Source organism: Homo sapiens, chromosome 14 (assembly GCF_000001405.40).
Source record: "Homo sapiens chromosome 14, GRCh38.p14 Primary Assembly".
Lineage (NCBI taxonomy): Eukaryota > Metazoa > Chordata > Mammalia > Primates > Hominidae > Homo > Homo sapiens.
The window spans coordinates 74084657-74105302 of NC_000014.9; the positions used below are offsets into that span (position 1 = coordinate 74084657).

Consider the following 20646-nt stretch of genomic DNA (forward strand, 5'->3'; position numbering starts at 1 on the left):
GGACACTCCCTACCGAGCACACGGGGAAGACGCCCCCCTAACCTGGAACTCCGATTGGCCAAGGGCGGAACCGAGGCCCCACCCCCCCACTGAAAAAAGTAAATAAGACCCTTCAAGAATTTTGCAGTCGCTCCACCTCAACATCCGCGTAAGGGGCGTGGCTATACTTAGGGGCGGGGCTAGGCAAAGATTGCCCTATGAGGCGAGGGAATGAGACTGGGCTGCGAGTTGGGGATAGGGTTTCTCTTTGGGGGCGTGGCTTATGGAACCTCGTTTTCCCGCCGACGGTTGGCCACGTCACGTGACATGGGTTGGAAGATGGCGTCTCCCACAGACGGTAAGAGCCGGCTTAGAGATCTTTGCCTGCAGCCTCCTTCTTTGCTCTACTGGGAACATCCACTCTGTCTCTGCCCCTCGAACATACATTTCTTTCTTGGGCTCTTCTCCTTTCCCTTTTATTTTTTTTCTTGAGATCCATCGCCGTCTTCAGCTCACCGGTTCTTCACAGCAGCTCCGGAGGTGCCCAGTTTCCCCGCTCTGTACCAGGCGTGTGGAGGAGGGCACTAGGGAGGGACTCATTCTGGGTAAAAGGACAGGGGGGTCGCCCTGTGCCTTCCTTATCTCTATTTGGGCGAGGCTGAGGGTCGAGGAGGAGATGTTTCTGGAGGACGTGGCTTACTGTAGTTTTTTCCTTGGGGTACCCATTGAAAGGATCAGTTCTCTTCTGATTGAGCGCACGGATGGAATGATTCTCACAAACCCTCGCAGGGCTGCTGGCTGACCTCATCTCGATACTGAACCGCAAGAGAAACATGATCTCTCTCCTGTCTCCTCAGTTTGGGACCATTGCCGTGGCAGCAAGAGAAGCGGGGGACGTTCTCGGCCCCTCGCCCTGAGAGTCGCGAGGAGAATCAGTATTGAGCTTTTAAGTGTCGTCTTGCACAGGTCGCAACCTGTCTTCCATCTGCTTTACGTGTTGTTTCTTAAGGCTGAGTGAATTAACGATTTCTGTTTATATATTGTGTAAAATGCAAGTCATTTCAAGTAACAATTAAGTTGTTTTGGTATACTCCCATGCTTTTCCTCTTGGTTCTGCTTTAGAGAGTTAGGGTCTTGCAGTCATTTTTAAACTCATTTTTAGTTCTACCATCCTCATCCCAACTATATATCGATTTTATTGATATATAGGTTTCCTTCCCTTAGACAAAAACATTTTATATTTGGAAGGAATCTTGGAAGTTCATTGCAGGAATGAAGAAATTGAAGCCAAGGTGAGCTATATTAAGTACCTGCTACATGAAAGGCATAATGCTAGGTGCTTTGGGAGACCAAAAGATGACTCAAACATATAAACATTTTTTTTTTTCAGTTTCAGTTCTCTTTTTAGATGTCACCTCCCAAAGAGTCTTTCTTAGAACACAGTATCTGGAGTTGCCCTTTCCCACCATTATTCATTATCTCAGTATCTTCCTTGTCAGCATAGTTACTCTGTTAACTTTGCCCCTTTTGCGCTAGATTGTAAATTCCAAGTTTGTCTTGTTCATAGTTGGATCCAGGTTTAGCACAGTGCCTGACGAACAGTAGGTCTTTAATTAACATTTATTGAAAGATTGATTAGATATATGCAGAAATAATATATTACTTGATCTTAAGTTTTAAGTTTAACCGAGTCTTAAATTTTGTGAGCGCAGGTACATACTGTATTAGAAATTATGGCTGGGCGTGGTGGTTCACACTTCTAATCCCAGCACTTTGGGAGGCTGAGGCAGGCAGATCGCCTGAGCTCAGGAATTGAAGACCAGCCTAGACAACATGGTGAAACCCCATCTCTACAAAAAAATACAAAAATTATCTGGGTGTGATGCCACAAACCTGTAGTCCCAGCTACTTGGGGGGGCTGAGGCAAGAGAATCTCTTGAGCCCAGGGGGTGGAGGCGGCAGTGAACCATGTTCATGCCACTGCACTCCAGTCTGTGTGACAAAGCGAGACCCCGTCTCAGAAAAAAAAGAAGGAAAAAAAAAGAAATTATGGATGTTTGGAGTCAAAAGAGATTCTCCTGCCTGGGTGCGCTCTTGCAAAAATGTCCTTCTCTTGCCAGAAAGAAGGGCATTTAAAAAGTCAGGCAAGGGAATAGGGAGTTATTGTTAATGGGTACCAAATTTCAGTTTGGGAAGGTGAAAGAATTCTGGAAATGAATGTGATGATTGCACAATTAATGTACTTAATACCACTGAAATGTATACTTAAAAGTTATTAAAATGGTAAAATTTATGTATATTTCACCACAGTTGAAAAAAAAAGCCAAGTAATACAAGTAGAAGTAATTGTTATTAAACTTTTTAGTTTATTTTTAAATTGTTTTTACAAACTTTGGGGATTTTAGAGATGTGTTCCTTGAGTTTGATTTTTTTCCCCTGTCATCTCTCAATTTAGTTTCCTTTCTTTGGCCAGGAAGAGTATTAAAAACATTAAATTTGGCTTGGCGTGGTGGCTCACGCCTGTAATCCCAGCACTTTGGGAGGGCGAGATGGGTGGATCACGAGGTCAGGAGATCGAGACCATCCTGGCTAACACAGTGAAACCCTGTCTCTACTAAAAAATACAAAAAATTAGCCAGGCGTGGTGGTGGGTGCCTGTAGTCCCAGCTACTCAGGAGGCTGAGGCAGGAGAATGGCGTGAACCCGGGAGGCAGAGCTTGCAGTGAGCCGAGATCACGCCACTGCACTCCAGCCTGGGACAGAGCGAGACTCCATTGCAAAAAAAAAAAAAAAAAAAAAAATTAAATTTTTTTCCTTTTCTAGCCATCTCTATGGTCACTTTATTTGCACTCTTGATTTTTAAGTTTTCATTCTCATCTCTTACAAAGTTTCACTCCTCTCCACCTAATGTTTTCTTTTTAATCTGAAAAAATCAAGTCAAGCACTTTGAACTTAAATTCAGCTTCTAAATAAGTATCTCATTCCAAAATATTCCACGGCCTAGCTCTTTCACTTCTATTTTTAGTGTTCCACCTGTCACTGTCTTTAAAATTTAATTCAGATAATATTTATTTTAATATGTTTGTCATTTACTCTTTTGTCTTTTTCGTGATAAATTTGCTGGAGCGTCTTTGAAAAGGAGAAAACTGAAATTCAAATACAGCCATCTAATTACTTAATTTATGAGAGTAAGACTCACAGCAGAGTCTGAGTTCTATCCCAGACTGTGGTATCATAAGGTCACCCATGTAGGTTATTAGATTGTACCCCCAATAATTTTTTTTTAACTTTCTTTTAGAGACAGGGTCTCTCTCACTCTATTGCCCATGCTGAAATGCAGTGATATGATTATAGCTCACTGCACCCTCAAAGGCTCAAGCGATTCTCCCATCTCAGCCTCCTAAGTAGCTGGTACTATAGGCTCACACCACCATGCCCAGCTAATTTATTATTATTATTATTTATTTTGTTTTGAGACGGAGTCTCACTCTGTCACCCAGGCTGGAGTGCTGTGGCATGATCTCGGGTCACTGCAACCTCCGCCTCCTGGGTTCAAGTAATTCTCATGCATCAGCCTCTCCAGTAGCTGGGATAACAGGCACACGCCACCACACCTGGCTAATTTTTGTATTTTGAGTAGAGACGGGGTTTCACCATGTTGCCCAGGCTAGTCTTGAACTCCTGACCTCAGGTGATGCACTCACCTCGGCCTCCCAAAGTGCTAGGATTACAGGCGTGAGCCACCATGCCCCCACCTTATTATTTTTTGTAGAGATGGAGTCTCACTATGTTGCCCAGGATGGTCTCAAACTCCTGGGCTCAAGCAATCTTCCTGCCTCGGCTTCCCAAAGCACTGGGATTCCAGACATGAGCCACTGTACCTGGCCCAATAACTTTACTTTTGTTATGGTTGAACATTCCTCAGAAATCGGTAACAAAGAGAAGCTAATTTTTGGATGCTTTAATTAAGGCAATGTATTAGTTGAGTTCTTTACAATTAAAATGCCATTGGAAATTCCTTTGGAATATTTGGCAAAACAAATTCAGTTTAGAGAAAAGTACATTTTGTACGTATGTATATTTTCTGGGGAGTGAGTTCATTTTATTTCCCAGATTTCCAGAGATGTGGTTACCCAGAAAATGTTAAGAACTGCTGTTTATAGCATTAAATGAACTAGTTATGCAACTGGTTAGCATACTGAGCATACAATAAAAACTCAACAAATGTTAATATTGAGTACTACTGTGTGCAAGGGAAGAGTGGAAGAGAAATGATGTCAAAGAATTAGGTAGAGGCTGAGTAAGATTTTATAGAGTGTGGTAGATACACATTCACAGATTTAGCTGGGAGGAACTTTAAGCTGGAGAGAGACACGAACTGATTGACGTTTAAAAAAATCAATTCTGGCCTCTTTATGGAGAATAGATTCCGGGGGTGTGAAGGGGAAAGGGTAAGAATGGGAGCAGAGAGATCTGTTAAGAGGCTGTTGAAGTAGTCCAAGAAAGAAGTGATGGTTCCTTGGGTTATTTGATTTCAGGGTGTATTCTGAAGGTAGAAACGACTAGATTTACTCATGGATTGGTTATGGAAGGGTGAAGGAAAAGAATGCATGAAGGATGACATCTGGGTTTTTGATCTGAGAATTGGAATTTATGGTAGTGTTATTTCTTGAGATGGGAGAAGATTGGGGGAATATGGTTTTGAAGATAATTAGGTTTAAAGTTTAAGTGGGGATTTTTTTTTTTTTTTTGAGACAGGATGTGGCTCTATCACCCAGGCTGGAGTGCAGTGGTGTGACCTTAGCTAACTGCAGCTGCCACCTCTGGGCTCAAGCCATCCTTCCACCTCAGCCTCCCAAGTAGCTGGGACTACAGGCTGACACCACCACACCTGGCTAATTTTTTTGCTTTTTGTAGAGATGGGTTTTCACTATGTTGGCCAGGCTGGTCTCAAACTCGTGAGCTCAAGCAATCCACCCACCTCGGCCTCCCAAAACTGCTGGGATTACAGGCGTGCACCACTGCATCTGGCCTTAAGCAGTTTTTTTATATGTAAATAGAGAGGGATTCAAATAACCACTTGGACATAAACCTTTGTAGTTCTTTAGAAAGGTTGGGAATGGAAATATAAATATGGAGTCATTGGCATACAGATGAAGATAAAAGTCCTCATGTTGAAATAGGGGAGTTCCCTAACCGCAGGACATACGACAGGGGTGTGGCTTGTCTGTGTGCACTCAATCCTCTTATGGGAGAGGGAGCACGCAGATGGGCAGGTGTAGGAGTCAGGGCGAGCACTTTTGGGCTCCAGCCCCACGGTAGCATCTAGGGGTGGGTGCCTGTGACTCCCAAAGCCCAAGTGGGCATGTATAACAGTGCACTCTTTTTTTTTTTTTTTTTTGAGATGGAGTCTTGCTTTGTTGCCCAGGCTGGAGTGCAGTGGTGTGATCTTGGCTCACTGCAACCTCCACCTCCCAGGTTCAAACGATTCTCCTGCCTCATCCTCCCCAGTAACTAGGATTACAGGTGTGTTCCCCCATGCCTGACCAATTTTTGTATTTTTAGTAGAGACAGGGTTTCACTATGTTGGCCAGGCTGGTCTTGAACTCCGGACCTCAAGTGATCCACCCATCTTGGCCTCCCAAAGTGCTGGGATTATAGGCATGAGGCACCCCACCTGCCCTGGTGTTTTTTGTTTGTTTGTTTGTTTGTTTTTTTGAGATGGCGTCTCATTCTGTTGCCTGGGCTGGAGTACAGTGGTGCAATCTTGGCTCACTGTAACCTCTGCCTCCCGGGTTTAAGCAATTCTCCTCCCTCAGCCTCCTGAGTAGCTGGGATTACAGGCGCCTGCTACCACACCCAGCTAATTTTTTGTATTTTTAGTAGAGACAGGGTTTCACCACGTTGGCCAGGCTGGTCTCAAACTCCTGACCTTGTGATTCACCCGTGTTGGCCTCCCAAAGTGCTGGGATTACAGGCATGAGCCACCATGTCCGGCTGGGGTTTTTTTTTGAAACACAGAAATTCTGCAACCAGCTTGATTGGTACTGCTCCTTTTTAAAGAGATTTTTAAAGAGTTACTTATTTTGTAAAGTTTTATTTATTTTGAAGCTAGTCAAATTTAGCAGTGGGGGGTTGTGTACAAACTTTAGTGACACTGAGATGAGGCTAGAGAAGGTAGAAACTGATGGTACCTGAGAAAGATGATATGCAAATGATGTCCTTGATAAAGCAAGAGAAGATGGCATCTAGAGTGCTATCAGAAGAGTCTGTTTCATGGAAGGAGAAACACTTAATTCATTGTAACTGGAGGAAAGCACAAGAGTATGAATGAAGATGCAGGTGGGTTCATTGATACTCATTTTTCTTAACACTCCCAATAAAATATCATTCCCATTCATAGATTGAAAGAGTGAGGTTTGGTAAGGGAGAATGATTTATTTGTATTCTATCACGGACCAGTGGCATCAATAGTTACAGAACTCATATCTCTAGACTTCCAGGTGAGTGTTCCAGTTTATGTCCTTTGAGATTGAAGTATCATATACATTAATGTGTTTCCTGTCTTCTTGGTTCATCTGGATGTTTTGTTCTAGGGACAGATCTGGAAGCATCTTTGCTAAGTTTTGAAAAACTTGACCGTGCCTCACCAGATCTTTGGCCAGAACAATGTAAGTTTTTGCCTTCTTTATATCAGAGTCAATGCAGGAGAAACAATGTTCCTTTTTAAAGAGATTTTTAAAGAGTTATTTATTTTGTAAATTTTTATTTATTTTGAAGCTAGTCAAATTTAGCAGTGGGGGGTTGTATACAAACTTTAGTGACACTAACGTTAATAAGTTCTGATAACAGGCTGAGCTTGTTGGCTCATGCCTGTAATCCCAGCACTTTGGGAGGCCGAGTTGGGAGGATCACCTGAGGTCAGGAGTTTGAGACCAGCGTGGCCAACATGGTGAAACCCTGTCTCTACTAAAAAAAAAATAGAAATATTAGCTGGATGTGGTGGCACACACCTGTAATCCCAGCTACTCAGGAGGCTGAGGCATGAGAATCTTTTGAACCCAGGAGGCGGAGGCTGCAGTGAGCAGAGATTGTGCCACTGCACTTCAGCCTGTGTGACAGGGTGAGACTCTGTCTCAAAAAAAAAAAAAAAAAAAAAAAAGTTCTGATAACCCATTACCATCAGACCAGGCTGAAGAGTTATCATTTAACTTTAATGATTAAAGTTTTATTTTATTTCAAAGAGAAGAGATTGAAGTCCAGTGTTAAGAATAGCTGTTTGGTGGTTTAATTTGTTCAGAACACAGTGTGACTCAGAAAATAAGGAGCCATTAAACAATAATAATTATTTTGTTTGAACCAGAGTCTCTCTCTGTCGCCCAGGGTGGAGTGCAGTGGTGCACTCGGGTCACTGCATCCTCTGCCTCAGGGTTCAAGCGATTGTCCTGCCTCAGCCTCCCAAGTAGCTGGGACTACAGGTGCATGCCACCATGCCCGGCTAATTTTTTGTATTTTTAGTAGAGACAGGGTTTCACCATGTTGGCCAGGCTGGTCTCGAACTCCTGACCTCAGGTGATCCACCTGCCTCAGCGTCCCAAAGTGCTGGGATTACAGGTGTGAGCCACCGTGCCTAGCCAACAATAATTATTATTATTATATATATGTATATATATATATATGTTTTTTTTAGACGGAGTTTCGCTCTAGTTGCCCAGGCTGGAGTGCAATTGCTCAGTGTTGGCTCACTGCAACCTCTGCCTCCCAGGTTCAAGCGATTCTCCTGCCTCGGCTCCCGAGTAGCTGGGATTACAGGCACATGCCGCAATGCCCGGCTAATTTTTTGTATTTTTAGTAGAGACAGGGTTTTGCCATGTTGGCCAGGCTGGTCTCAAACTCCTGATCTCAGGTGATCCACCCACCTCGGCCTCCCAGAGTGCTGGGATTACAGGCGTGAGCCACCATGGCTGGCCATTAATTACTTTTTAAAACTACATTTATAGGCTGGGCATGGTGGTTCATGCCTGTAGTCCCAGCACTTTGGGAGGCCAATGCGGGTGGATCACTTGAGGCTAGGAGTTTGAGACCAGCCTCGCCAACATGGCGAAACCCTGTCTCTATCAAAAATACAAAAATTAACTGGCCGTGGTGGTGCACACCTGCTATCCCAGCTACTCAGGAGGCTAAGGCACGAGAATTGCCTGAACCCGGGAGGCGGAGGTTGCAGTGAGCCAAGATTGCACTATTGCACTCGAGCCTGGGCAACAGAGAAAGACTCTTTCTCAAAAAAATCCCCCAAACTACACTTATTTGTTTGTTTGTGTATTTATTTATTTGAGATGGAGTCTTGCTCATGTCGCTCAGGCTGGAGTGCAATGGTGCAATCTCGGCTCACTGCAACGTCCGCCTCCCTGGTTCAAGCGATGCTCCTGCCTCAGCCTCCCGAGTAGCTGAGATTATAGGTGCCCGCCACAATGCTCAGCTAATTTTTGTATTTGTAGTACAGACGGCTTTTCACCAAGTAGGTTGGTCTTGAACTCCTGACCTCAGGTGATCCGCCCACCTCGGCCTCCCAAAGTGCCGAAATTTCAGGAGTGAGCCACCACAGCCAGCCCCCAAAACTACATTTATAAGAAATTCACATAATACTGAGATATATAAAGCGTTTTCTCACCTTTTTCAATCACTCTTTTTTTTTTTTTTTTTTTTGAGATGGAGTTTCACTCTTGTTCCCCAGGCTGTGCAGTATAATGGTGCAGTCTTGGCTCACAGCAACCTCTGCTTCCGGGTTCAAGCAATTCTCCTGCCTCAGCCCCCCAAGTAGCTGGGATCACAGGTGCATGCCACCACACCTGGCTAATTTTTGTATTTATAGTAGAGAAGAGGCTTCACCATGTTGGACAGGCTGGTCTTGAACTCCAGACCTCAGATGATCTGCCTGCCTCAGCCTCCCAAAGTGCTAGTATTAGAGGCCTGAACCACTGCACCTGGCCCACTCTTATAACGTTAACCACTGTTAATCGTACAAATCCTTGTAAAAGGTACAACTCCGGCCAGGTGTGATGGCTCACGCCTGTAATCCAAGCACTTTGAGAGGCCGAGGTGGGCGGATTACCTGAAGTCAGGAGTTTGAGATCAGCCTAGCTAACATGGCGAAACCCCGTTTCTACTAAAAATACAAAAAATTAGCTGAGCGTGGTGGCACATGCCTGTAATCCCAGCTACTTGGGAGGCTGAGGCAGGAGAATCGCTTGAACCCGGGAGGCAGAGGTTGCAGTGAGCAGAGATTGCAGTGAGCTGAGATCACTCCATTGCACTCCAGGTTGAGCAACAAGAGTGAAACTCTGTCTCAAAAAAAAAAAAAAAGGTACAAATCCTTTTGACCTATTTTATACAGATAAGGAAATAATAATTTTTTAAGTATGTATAAGAGGGATTTTTTTTTTCTTCATAATGTTGGAGTCATATGCATGTGGCCTGCCACTTAACTTACTCCACATGTGAACAGTTCCATCTTGGTATGTGTATGTCTACTTCATTCTTTTAAATATATTTCATTGTATGGATATATTATAGTTTATGTATTCATACATTATTTGGAAACTTAAGTTATATCTACTTTGTAGTTTTTTTTTTTTTTTAATTTGAGCAAGGGTCTCACTCTGTCACCCAGGCTTTGTGCAGTGGCGTGATCACAGCTGACTGCAGCCTCAACCTCCTGGGCTCAAGTGATCCTCTCACTTCAGCCTCCTGAGTAGCTGGGACCACAGGCATGTACCACCACAACCAGCTATTTAAAAAATTTTGGGGGGGACAAGATCTCACTGTGTTGCCCAGACTGGTCTCAGACTCCTGGGCTCAGGCTGTCTTTCCACCTTGGCCTCCCAGAGCACTGGGATTACAGGTGTGAGGCACTGTGCCTGGCCTATATCTAGTTTTTGACTTTACAGACAGTTTATCAGTGAATACCCATGTACACATATCTTCATATACATGGAAGAGGATAACTGTATGAGGGCCCCTTTCCTCACATACTAGCCAGTATTAGATGTTACTAATCTATTAGTTTCATTTTACATTTCCTTTTTGGTGAGATTGAACTTTTTTTTTTTTGAGATGGAGTCTCGCTCTGTTGCCCAGGTTGGAGTGCAATGGCGTGATCTCAGCTCACTGCAACCTCCACCTCCCGGGTTCAAGCAATTCTCCTGCCTCAGCCTCCTGAATAGCTGGGACTACAGGCACATGCCGCCACACCCAGCTAATCTTTTGTATTTTAGTAGAGACGGGGTTTCACTGTGTTGCCCAGGCTGGTCTCCAACTCCTGAGCTCAGGCAAAGATGTTATTTTAATTATATATTTTTTTTAGAGACAGAGGCTCATCCTATCACCCAGGCTAAAGTGCAATGTCACGATGATAGCTTACTGCAGCCTCCAACTCCTGAGTTCAAGCCATCCTCCTGCCTCAGCCTCCTAAGTAGCTAGGACTATAGGTGTGCATTACCATGCCCAACTAACTGTTTTTTTTTTTTTTTTTTTTGAGACAGGGTCTTCCTCTGTTGCCCAGTTTGGAGTGCAGTGGTGTGATCATGGCTCATTTCAGCCTCAACTTCCCGGGCTCAAGCCTTCCAAGTAGCTAGGACTACAGGGGCACATCACTACGCCTGGCTAAATTTTGTATTTTTTGTAGAGACGGGGTTTCACTATATTGCCCAGGCTGGTCTCCAACTCCTGAGCTCGAGTGATTCACCCGCTTCAGCCTCCCAAAGTGCTGGGACTACAGGCATGAGCCACTGCACCCGGCCCGTTTTTTAATTTTTTGTAGAGTCTGGGGTCTTGCCCTGTTGCCCAGGCTGATCTTCAAGGGATCCTCCTGCCTTGACTTCTCAAAATGCCCAGCCCTGATTTTTATTTTTCTGCATTTTAATGTGATTCTTTCTGTGAGAAATTTAAATAAATAAAATTGGATTGACAGAACAGCATCTCTAAAAAGGCAGTTTAAACTTTCTGGTAAGAGATATTGTATCTTACCACCCTCCCAACCAGCTAACTCCTGGTCCTTCCAAGTTCAGTTGAGGCATTATTTTCCTTGAGAAGCTTTTTATGCCCCCTGGGTCTGACTTAGCTTGCCATTTTTTGTCTTGCCATAGTCCTGGCATCTTTCTTTGAGGACTGAAACAGTGTTATAGTTATTGGTTTATTCTTTCTCTTCTTCTAAACTATAAGAAAACAGACAAAGCTGTTTTCTTATTATTTGGATCTTCTATGCCTGAGCAATCATACTTATTGAATAAATAAAGTTTTGTTTTTCTTTTTAGTACCAGGTGTTGCTGAATTTGCAGCTTCCTTCAAAAGTGTAAGTAATATCCCTTACCTACTGAGGTCAATCCAAAGTTTCGCTCCTGAGTAAAAGCTCAGATCTCTGTTCTTTATTTTATTTTATTTTATTTATGGCAGAGTCTCACTCTTCGCCCAGGCTGGAGTGCAGTGGTACGATCTCGGCTCACTGCAACTTCCACTTACCAAGTTCAAGCGATTCTCCTGCCTCAGCCTCCTGAGTAGCTGGGATTACAGGTGCCCACCACCACGCCCAGCTAATTTTTGTATTTTTAGTAGAGACGGGGTTCACCATCTTGGTCAGGCTGGTCTCAAACTCCTGACCTCAAGTGATCCACCTACCTCAGCCTCCCAAAGTGCTGGGATTACAGGTGTGAGCCACCGCGCCTGGCCTTTTAAAATTTTTTGTGGAGAAGAGGTCTCACTATATTTCCCAGGCTGGTCTTGAACTCCTGGGTTCAAGTGATCCTCCTGCTCCAGCCTCCCATAGCATTAGGATTACAGGTGTGAGCCAATGTATGTGTTTTTGTTTTTTTGTTTTTTTTAATGTGAAAAAAATACCTACTTTATAGAGTTGATTTGGAGGTAAATGACTTGATGCATGTAAAGTGTTTTGCTTGTCACATAATAGGTTCTGAGTACATTTTAATTAAAAAAAGAGAAAGACGCAAAGCTGAAATAATGTTTCTCAACCCTACCTTTTGTGCATGACAGAATCATCAACATGCAGCTATGGAGCTCTTGAAAAATGCACTGTAACAAATGAGCACCAAGAAAAAAATTAATTAAATATAAAAAAAGAAAAGCACATATGAGGAGTCCCTTGCTCTACTTTTTCCACTGGACCCTTCCCTACCCCTCATATTCTAAATCATTATGTCTGGAGTGTGGCCAAGGCATTTATAGTTTTAAAAGTTACACAGGTGATTCTCGTGTGCAACTAGCATTAAACTGCCAACCCAGAGCTATTCTAAGAATGGGCTTTCTTTCATAGTTTTAAGTTCACTTTCATAAATGAAAAATTGTAAAATTCTGAAGTTTCCTAAAACCTCTACAATAAAATTGTGAAATTCCAAGTGATGACCATTCCAGACTTCTCTCACTTAAAATGATGATTTTCTCATTCTTGATTCTTCTTTGAATCTCCCGTATGCCAGAGAATGTTACTTACTGATTAGTGTTTCAAACAGTTGAATTGGAGGCTTTCACCAGAACTGAATTTCAAGTAATTTCATTCATTGCTATACTAACTTGTTAGGCATAAATCAGTAATAGTGGTCATACCTATTCTTCCACAGTGATTTCTCTGAGACTGACTTTCAAGATGAGCCATGTTTTTTGCAGTGACTATTTGTAGGCCATATCTAAACCTGGAGAAATCCAGGTTTTTGAAATTATAATCTGCCAGTATTTCCAAACAACCTGAAGGCTATGTGACAAGCTGCATTTTTTCTTTTTCTTTTTTTTTTTTTTTTTTGAGACAGAGTAATACTCTTACCCAGGCTGGAGTACAGTGGCACAATCTTGGTTCACTGCAACCTCTGCCTCCCACATTCAAGAGGTTCAAGCAATTCTCGTGCCTCACCCTCCCAAGTAGCTGAGATTACAGGTGTGTGCCATCACGCCTGGCTAATTTTTTTTGTATTTTTAGTAGAGATGGGGTTTCCCCATGTTGGCCAGGCGGGTCTCGAACTCCTGACTCCTGACCTCAAGTAATCCGCCCACCTTGGCAGCCACCGCATCCGGCCCAGGCTACACTTCTTATAAGAATAATAGGGTCTCCTCACACTTTTTATGTGTCTGAATGGATATATTATTTTTTGACAGCCTATTACTAGTTCTCCACCCAAATGGATGGCTGAGATAGAACGTGATGACATCGACATGTTGAAAGGTAAGTGATGCTAGTTACCACTTTTAACTGGATATTTATGTTTTTCCATAGACCACCTCTCTATTTTTTTTTTCTGTTTCCTTACAAGTATTTTTGGCTTCAGACTTCTCATTTAAACCTCCTTATTTGTAGTTTTTCATGTCTGCAATGCCCTTCTCTACCTTTTCCATGTGTAGAAATCCTGCCAATTCAAGACTCAGTCATAGTGAATTCTGCTGCTGGTGCTAAATTCTTCTAATGTGAACCTGATTTTGTATAATACAGTTAACGAATAGCTCTAACATAAATTTTTTCATTTAATTCCCATAAAGGTCCTGTGAGTTGGGTATGATGATATTCAAAGTTCATAAGTTAACCAAGATAGAATGAGTTAAAATTTGGCTAGGCGTGGCTCATGTCTGTAATCTTAGCATTTTGGGAGGCCGAGGTGGGTGGATCACTGGAGGTCAGGAGTTTGAGACCAGACTGACCAATATAACGAAACCACGTCTCTACTAAAAATACAAAAATCAACCAGGCATGGTGGCAAGCTCCTGTAATCCCAGCTACTCTGGAGGCTGAGTCAGGAGAATCACTTGAACCTAGAAGACAGAGGTTGTGGCGAACAATAGTTCCACTGCACTCCAGCCTGGCTGACAGAGCAGGACTCTATCTCAAAAAAAAAAAAAAGTTAAAAAATTTTAACTCTGGTTTTTTTTTTTTTTCAGACGGAGTCTCGCTTTTGTTGCCCAGGCTGGAGTGCAGTGGTGCGATCTCGGCTCACTGCAACCTCCGCCTCCTGGGTTCAAGCGATTCTCCTGCCTCAGCCTCCCGAGTAGCTGGAATTACAGGCATCCCCCACCACGTCCAGCTAATTTTTGTAGTTTTAGTAGAGATGGGGTTTCACCATGTTGGCCAGGCTGGTCTCAAACTCCTGACCTCCAGTGATCCACCCACCTCGGCCTCCCAGAGTGCTGGGATTACAGGCGTGAGCCACCACGCCCCGCGTAAACTCTGCTTTTTTAAGTCTAGCCTCTTTCCATTATAACACAAGTGCCTTATTTAGAATTTACTGCCATATATTGTCAGTACTATTAAATGACAACCTCTTAGTGGGTTAAGACCTATTTTTTATTTTTTTATCCCATCAATTTCTTCTATAAAGAATACTATAAGTAGTGAATATTGTTGTTTGATAAATGATTTGAAACTCAATCACAAAGTGGAAATTTAAATTAAAAAACATTAATTTTCCATGATTTTGCCCTACTTTATTTATTTTATCATCCTTCTGGTGATAAGATTCATGATGATTGTGAAGTAATAGACTGAAATTAAGGTAAAAACCTGGGATTCTTGAGGTATTTAAACAGCTGAACATATCAAGAAAGTCTACTTATGCTAGGTGTAGATAATGACTGTGGCATGATAAATGAGATTAAAAAAAAACACCTTTATTTGATTTTAGAAGTAATTCATTGTTCTTTATGAAATGCTTAAATGCAGATTCCCTCCTCCTGCCATGGAAAAATTAAGTCTCAAGGGCATCTCAGGTTCATTCTTCTAATGTTTCAAACAGACATTTATATAATATCTCATCAGCATGTATTTCTTAAGGCAACTTTAAATTTTTAGTGAGGGATCATAGCATTATATTCTATGCAAACTGACCTGTGTCTTAAACCTAAAAGGAATTGGGTGCTATTTAAATAAAAATTCAGGAAAGAACATTTTTAAGTATTGTCTTTGTGTGTGTGTGTGTGTGTGTGTATGTGTGTGCAAGAGACTGGAGTTTTTTTTATTACTCAGTCTCCCCGAGAATTTGGGGATCAGAGTTTTTAAGGATAATTTGGTGGGTTGGGGGGACAGTGAGTTGCTAGTGCTGATTGATTGGGCTGGAGATGAAATCACAGGGAGTCAAAGCTGTCCTCTTGCACTGAGTCAGTTCCTGGGTGGGGGCCACAAGATCAGATGAACCAGTTTATTGATCTGGGTGGTACCAACTGATCCATCAAATGCAAGGCCTGCAAAATATCTCAAGCACAGAAACACCCAACAGTGAAACTGCCATTGCAGAATTGTAACTGTGATGGTGAAAGAGATCTGACCTAACCAACTCCATTTGCTCCTAACCTCCAACAGTATGCTGTCTTTTTACTTAGTAAACTTAAAGATTTTTATAGGAATTTGATTTGAAGGGAAAGTTTAGATTTTTATTTAGTCTTTGTTTTCTAAACTTAGGGAAATGGGGAATAGTAAGTGTTTTGTTGCCACTTTATTATAAGTCGAAATAATGTGGACTTACAATTAACAGTGGAGACAGTGTCCATTTTGTCAGATCAGATCTGTCTTCAAGGCTTTCTTAATGCTATCAAAAGACAAGGTTTTACATTTTAATGATGTATTCCAAACAAATGTTATAAATAATGTTTCCTGAGGATGAATCACTTAATTTGTTACTTTATTATTTTTTTCTTTTTTTATTTGAGAAAAGGTCTCACTCTGTCACCCAGACTGTAGTGCAGTGGTGCCATCATGGCTCACTACAGCCTTGACCTCCTGGTGATCCTCCCATCCCAGCCTCCTGAGTAGCTGGGACTACAGGCATACACCACCATACCCAGCTAATTTTATTTTATTTATATTTTTTTTTTGAGAAGGAATCTCACTTTGTTGCCTAGGCTGGAGTGCAGTGGTACAATCTCAGCTGTCTGCAACCTTTGCCTCCTAGGTTCAAGTGATTCTCCTGTTTCAGCCTTCTGAGTAGCTGGGACTACAGGCGCCTGCCACCACACCCAGCTAATCGTTCTATTTTTAGTAGAGACAGGGTTTCGCCAGGTTGGCCAGGCTGGTCTCAAACCCCTGACCTCGGGTGATCTGCCCGCCTTGGCCTCCCAAAGTGCTAGGATTACAGGCATGAGCCACCATGCCTGGCTGAATTTTTGCATTATTTTTATACAGGTGAGGTATCATTGCCCAGGCTGGTCTTGAACTCCTGGGCTCAAGTGATCCTCTTGCCATAGCCTCCCAAGTAGCTGGGACTGAAGGCATGTGCTACCATGCCCAGCTAATTCTGTTTTTATGCTAGTTCTTTTCTTATTAAGTGGGTAAGCTTATCTGAGGAATTTTGCAATAGTGGGAAAATTCCCTGATTTGTGTGTGTTTAAGATTGGGGGAGGAGTTACGGATCCATTTTCTACTTATTCAGTGGTAATTAAGCTTGAAAACTTGTATAACAAGAGTTCCCAACCCAAGGAAGTTGCTACTAGAGAAGAGTGGAAAGAAATGATGTTGAAATAAATGATTCTGTTTCAGAACTGGGGAGTCTCACCACGGCTAATTTGATGGAGAAGGTTCGAGGCCTACAGAACCTAGCCTATCAGCTGGGGCTGGATGAGTGTGAGTACCCCGATCGCATTTGTTCAGGGGTGTATTCCACCCTGAGCTGTGTATTCCACCCTGAGCTCAGGTATTCCACCCTGAGCTCCAGTTATAATTCAGAAAGTATATTAGGGAAAAGAGAAGCATTCTGAAGGTAAGAAGTCAATCTAATTCATTGACTTTTTATGGTGGAGTGTGGTGGAATAATTACTGGATTTACTAGGTAACAAATGATTTTTCTTTTTTTTTTTTTTTTGAGACGGAGTCTCGCTCTGTCGCCCAGGCTGGAGTGCAGTGGCGGGATCTCGGCTCACTGCAAGCTCCGCCTCCCGGGTTCACGCCATTCTCCTGCCTCAGCCTCCCAAGTAGCTGGGACTACAGGCGCCCGCCACTACGCCCGGCTGATTTTTTTTGTATTTTTAGTAGAGACGGGGTTTCACCGTTTTAGCCGGGATGGTCTCGATCTCCTGACCTCGTGATCCGCCCGCCTCGGCCTCCCAAAGTGCTGGGATTACAGGCGTGAGCCACCGCGCCCGGCCGATTTTTCTTTATACAGTAAAAGTATATTGAAATCCCTTCAGGTTATTATCTCATTTTTAAATAGACAGAGTCTTACTATGTTGCCCAGGCTGATCTTCAACTCCTGGGCTCAAGTGATCCTCCCACCTTAGCCTCTGAAGTAGCTGGGACTACAAGCATGTACCACCGTGCCTGGGTAATTAAAAAATTTTTTTTGTAGAGACAGAGTCTCACTATATTGCCCAGGTTGGTCTTGAACTCTTGGGTTTAAGTGATCTTCCTGCCTCAGCCTTCCAAAGTGCTGGGATTATGAACCACCGCACCCAACCAGCATTTTAGTTTACAAATAAATTTAAGGCTGGCCACAGTGGCTCATGCCTATAATCCCAGCTAGTTGGGAGGCTGAGGATGGAGAATCACTTGAACCTGGGAGGCAGAGGTTGCAGTGAGCCAAGATCATGCCACTGCACTCCAGCCTGGGCGACAGAGTAAGACTCTGTCTCAAAAACAAGAAAATTAATTTAAAATTTCTAATTTTCAACTGATAGTCGTCACTTCCTCAGACCTCTTTATCCTTCCTTTATTTCTATTACTGTCATCAGCAGTTGGCTTTCTTTTACCAAGAAAACATTTTTGAATTGGTTATGGAATCAAGAAATAGAGAACAACAAACTGCTTCAAGATATGGTTGTTAGCTGCTCTGCTAAGTTCACTCATTAGTACCTAACTCTTCTCTATATACTGGTAATTTATTTCTTATGATTAAAGTTTATACCTTGGCAAAATTACTAGTTACCATGTATGTCATGGACCTCCTTGATTTATAATGAAAAGGCAAATCTGTGATTAGTAAATTCATGAATGTGAGACTTTCATAGTCGATTTTGTTCCTTGATTTTGTTTCTAGCTTTGGATAATAAATGCTGTAATGATCATTGTGATCAAGGCTTTATCTCTTTGTGTCAATGTTTTTCAATGAAGTAAATGTTATGTTTGTTATATCAAGAAGATGCTATATTACCAAATAGATTTGTCAGTAGTATTATCTATAGTTATAGCTGAAATTATGGTTCCTCTAATTAGTTTCTCTTTTTCTGCTTTCCTACTGAGAAAGGTAATGAAGTATTTTTTCCTGCTTTTTATTATTTATACCAAAGTAGAGTGAACGGAATAATGACCCATGGCCCAGCTTCAGTAATCAACATATAGCCAATCTTGTTTTACTTATAACAATTTCCTGTAGCTACTTTAAAGCAAATTCCAGGCATCATATTACCCCATTGCCGAGTAACTTTGTATGTGTTTCCAGAAGACAAGGACTCTTACTTTCTTTTGCTGTTTTGTTTTGTTTTGTTTTGAGACAGAGTCTTACTCTGTGGCCCAGGCTGGAGTTCAGTGGTGCAATCTCGGCTCACGGCAACCTCCATCTCTTGGGTTCAAGTGATTTTCCTCCCTCAGCCTCCTAAGTAGCGGGGACTACAGGCATGCACCATGATGTCTGACCAATTTTTGTATTTTTAGTAGAGATGGGGTTTCACCCTGGTGGCCAGGCTGGTCTCAAACTCCTTACCTCAAATAATATGCTCACCTTGGCCTCCCAAAGTGCTGAGATTACAGGCATGAGCCACCACACCTGACATATTGTTTTTTTTCCTTTCTCTTCAGGAACAGTGGCACAAAATGTAAGATTTTTTTTTTTTTTTTTTTTTTGAGATGGAGTTTTGCTCTTGTTGCCCAGGCTGGAGTGCAATGACATGATCTTGGCTTACTGCAACCTCCACCTCCCAGGTTCAAGCGATTCTCCTGCCTCAGCCTCCTGAGTAGCTGGGATTACAGGCATGTGCCACCAGGCCCAGCTAATTTTGTATTTTTAGTAGAGATGGGGTTTTTCCATGTTGGTCAGGCTGGTCTTGAACTCCTGACCTCAGGTGATCTGCCCAACTCCGCCTCCCAAAGTGCTGGGATTACAGGTGTGAGCCACCGGGCCTGGCCAGTTTTTTTTTTTTTTTTTTTTTTTTTTTTTTTTTTTTAAGAGACTGGGTTTTTCTATGTTGCCTAGGCTGGACTTGAGTTCCTGGGCTCAAGCAATCAGCCCACCTCAGCCTTCTGAGTAGCTGAGACTACAGGCACATACCACTGTGCCTGGCTTTTTCTTTCTTTTTTTTTTTTTTGAGACGGAGTCTCGCTCTGTCGCCAGGTTGGAGGTTGAAGTGCAGTGGCGCGATCTTGGCTCACTGCAACCTCCGCCTCCTGGGTTCAAGCGATTCTCCTGCCTCAGCCTCCCAAGTAGCTGAGATTACAGGCTCATGCCACCATGCCTGGCTAATTTTTGTATTTTTAGTAGAGACGGGGTTTCACCATGTTGGCCAGAATGGTCTCAATCTCCTGACCTCGTGATCCACCTGCCTCAGCATCCCAAAGTGCCAGGATTACAGGAGTGAGCCACTGCGCCCAGCTGGCTACTGTTATTTTTTAAAAATATAACAATAGTTTCATTATTATAACTACAATTTTTTTAACAAACTTGTTAAATATCATCAAATAGCCAATCAGGGTTTAGATTTCTGTAGTTGACTCATAAATGCCTTTATACAGTTCATTTTTTGAGTCTGGATCTAAATAAGGTTCATATACTGTATTTGATATGTCTCTGAAATCTTTTTTAGCCTGTCATACTTCCACCTGCATTTTATTTCCCCTTGTCATTTGTTAAACCTAGTCATTTGTTCTGTAGATTTTTCAAAATCTGGGTTTTGTTGATTACATTCCTGTGGTAGAGCTTAACATGTTCACCTATCCCTTTTTTATCTGCTGATTGTTAGATCTAGAAGCTTGCACAGATACAGGCTTGATTTTTTTTTTTTAATTTTGATAAGAATATTTCACAGTTGGTGTTGGGTACATTATGTGTGCTGGTCTTTCTTTTTGTGATACTAAGATTAATAGTTGATGGATTCTAGATCTAACTATCAGGAAATAAAAAGGGATAGGTGAACATGTTAATTAAGCTCTACCACAGGAATGTAATCAACAAAACCCAGAATTTGAAAAATCTACAGAACAAATGACTAGGCTTAACAAATGATGGGGAAATAAAATGCAGGTGGAACTATGACAATCAGATTTATTCATTGTAATATTCTTCATCAGTCTTATACCTAGAGTAGCAGGCTTTGATCACAGTCTAGATTTACTGTTTTATTATAGGTTGCAAGGTAGTAATATTCTGTCATTTCTCTCATTGACTAGAATTTTTCTAAAAAGGACTGTATCTTATCAACTATTTGGTTACCTCGAAAACTGCTTCTACTGGCATGATGGGATAAATGATTCTTTTTCTTTCTTTATTAGTTTTCAGAATAATGAGTTTGTTCCCTAAGCATCAGTAAAGTTTATTTTAATGACTTTCAATGGAATCAAAAACTTGGTGTGGCATTTGTTATTTTTTTAAATCCACACAATTAAAGCCATTATTACTGCTAACTGTATTTCTAAAAACTTAAGGCTTTGGGGGTGGGGGTTTGAAGTCATTTAATTCGGCCACCTTCAGCACTAAACCAAAA

At 42.2% G+C, this 20646-nt stretch overlaps 1 protein-coding gene, 1 long non-coding RNA gene and 1 pseudogene across 10 annotated transcripts in view, besides 2 other annotated features; 1 reads left to right on the top strand and 2 right to left on the bottom strand.

The window, feature by feature from the left end:
- Window positions 209–388: an enhancer, noted in NCBI's record as "active region_8724". NCBI's record gives its function as "activates an Ori minimal core promoter by ATAC-STARR-seq in GM12878 lymphoblastoid cells {active_cell/tissue: GM12878}" and the evidence as "EXISTENCE:reporter gene assay evidence [ECO:0000049][PMID:35858748]".
- The window catches only part of LIN52 (lin-52 DREAM MuvB core complex component), a 116538-nt gene continuing 96191 nt past the window's right edge, over window positions 300–20646 (top strand). For 4 of the 9 annotated variants that reach the window (NM_001024674.3, XM_017021764.2, NM_001372005.1 and 1 more), the window contains exons 1-5: window positions 300–337; window positions 6576–6650; window positions 11292–11329; window positions 13138–13204; window positions 16499–16582. In NM_001024674.3, coding sequence (NP_001019845.2) covers window positions 319–337; window positions 6576–6650; window positions 11292–11329; window positions 13138–13204; window positions 16499–16582 — 283 coding nt within the window. In that variant the 5' untranslated portion in view covers window positions 300–318. Of the gene's footprint in view, window positions 338–6575; window positions 6651–11291; window positions 11330–13137; window positions 13205–16498; window positions 16583–17688; window positions 18036–20646 lie in introns of those variants that run through there. The other 5 variants (NM_001372006.1, XM_047431916.1, XM_047431917.1 and 2 more) reach the window with 3 other exon arrangements.
- Window positions 1329–1418: an enhancer, noted in NCBI's record as "active region_8725". NCBI's record gives its function as "activates an Ori minimal core promoter by ATAC-STARR-seq in GM12878 lymphoblastoid cells {active_cell/tissue: GM12878}" and the evidence as "EXISTENCE:reporter gene assay evidence [ECO:0000049][PMID:35858748]".
- Window positions 6757–6829, bottom strand: RNY4P21 (RNY4 pseudogene 21; annotated as a pseudogene).
- LOC105370563 (uncharacterized) overlaps window positions 12007–20646 on the bottom strand; it is a 45899-nt gene continuing 37259 nt past the window's right edge. The window contains exons 2-3 of the long non-coding RNA XR_944024.3: window positions 15489–15551; window positions 12007–12063 (exon numbers count right to left, since the gene is read on the bottom strand). This is a non-coding gene — a long non-coding RNA (uncharacterized LOC105370563). The remainder of the gene's footprint in view (window positions 12064–15488; window positions 15552–20646) is intronic.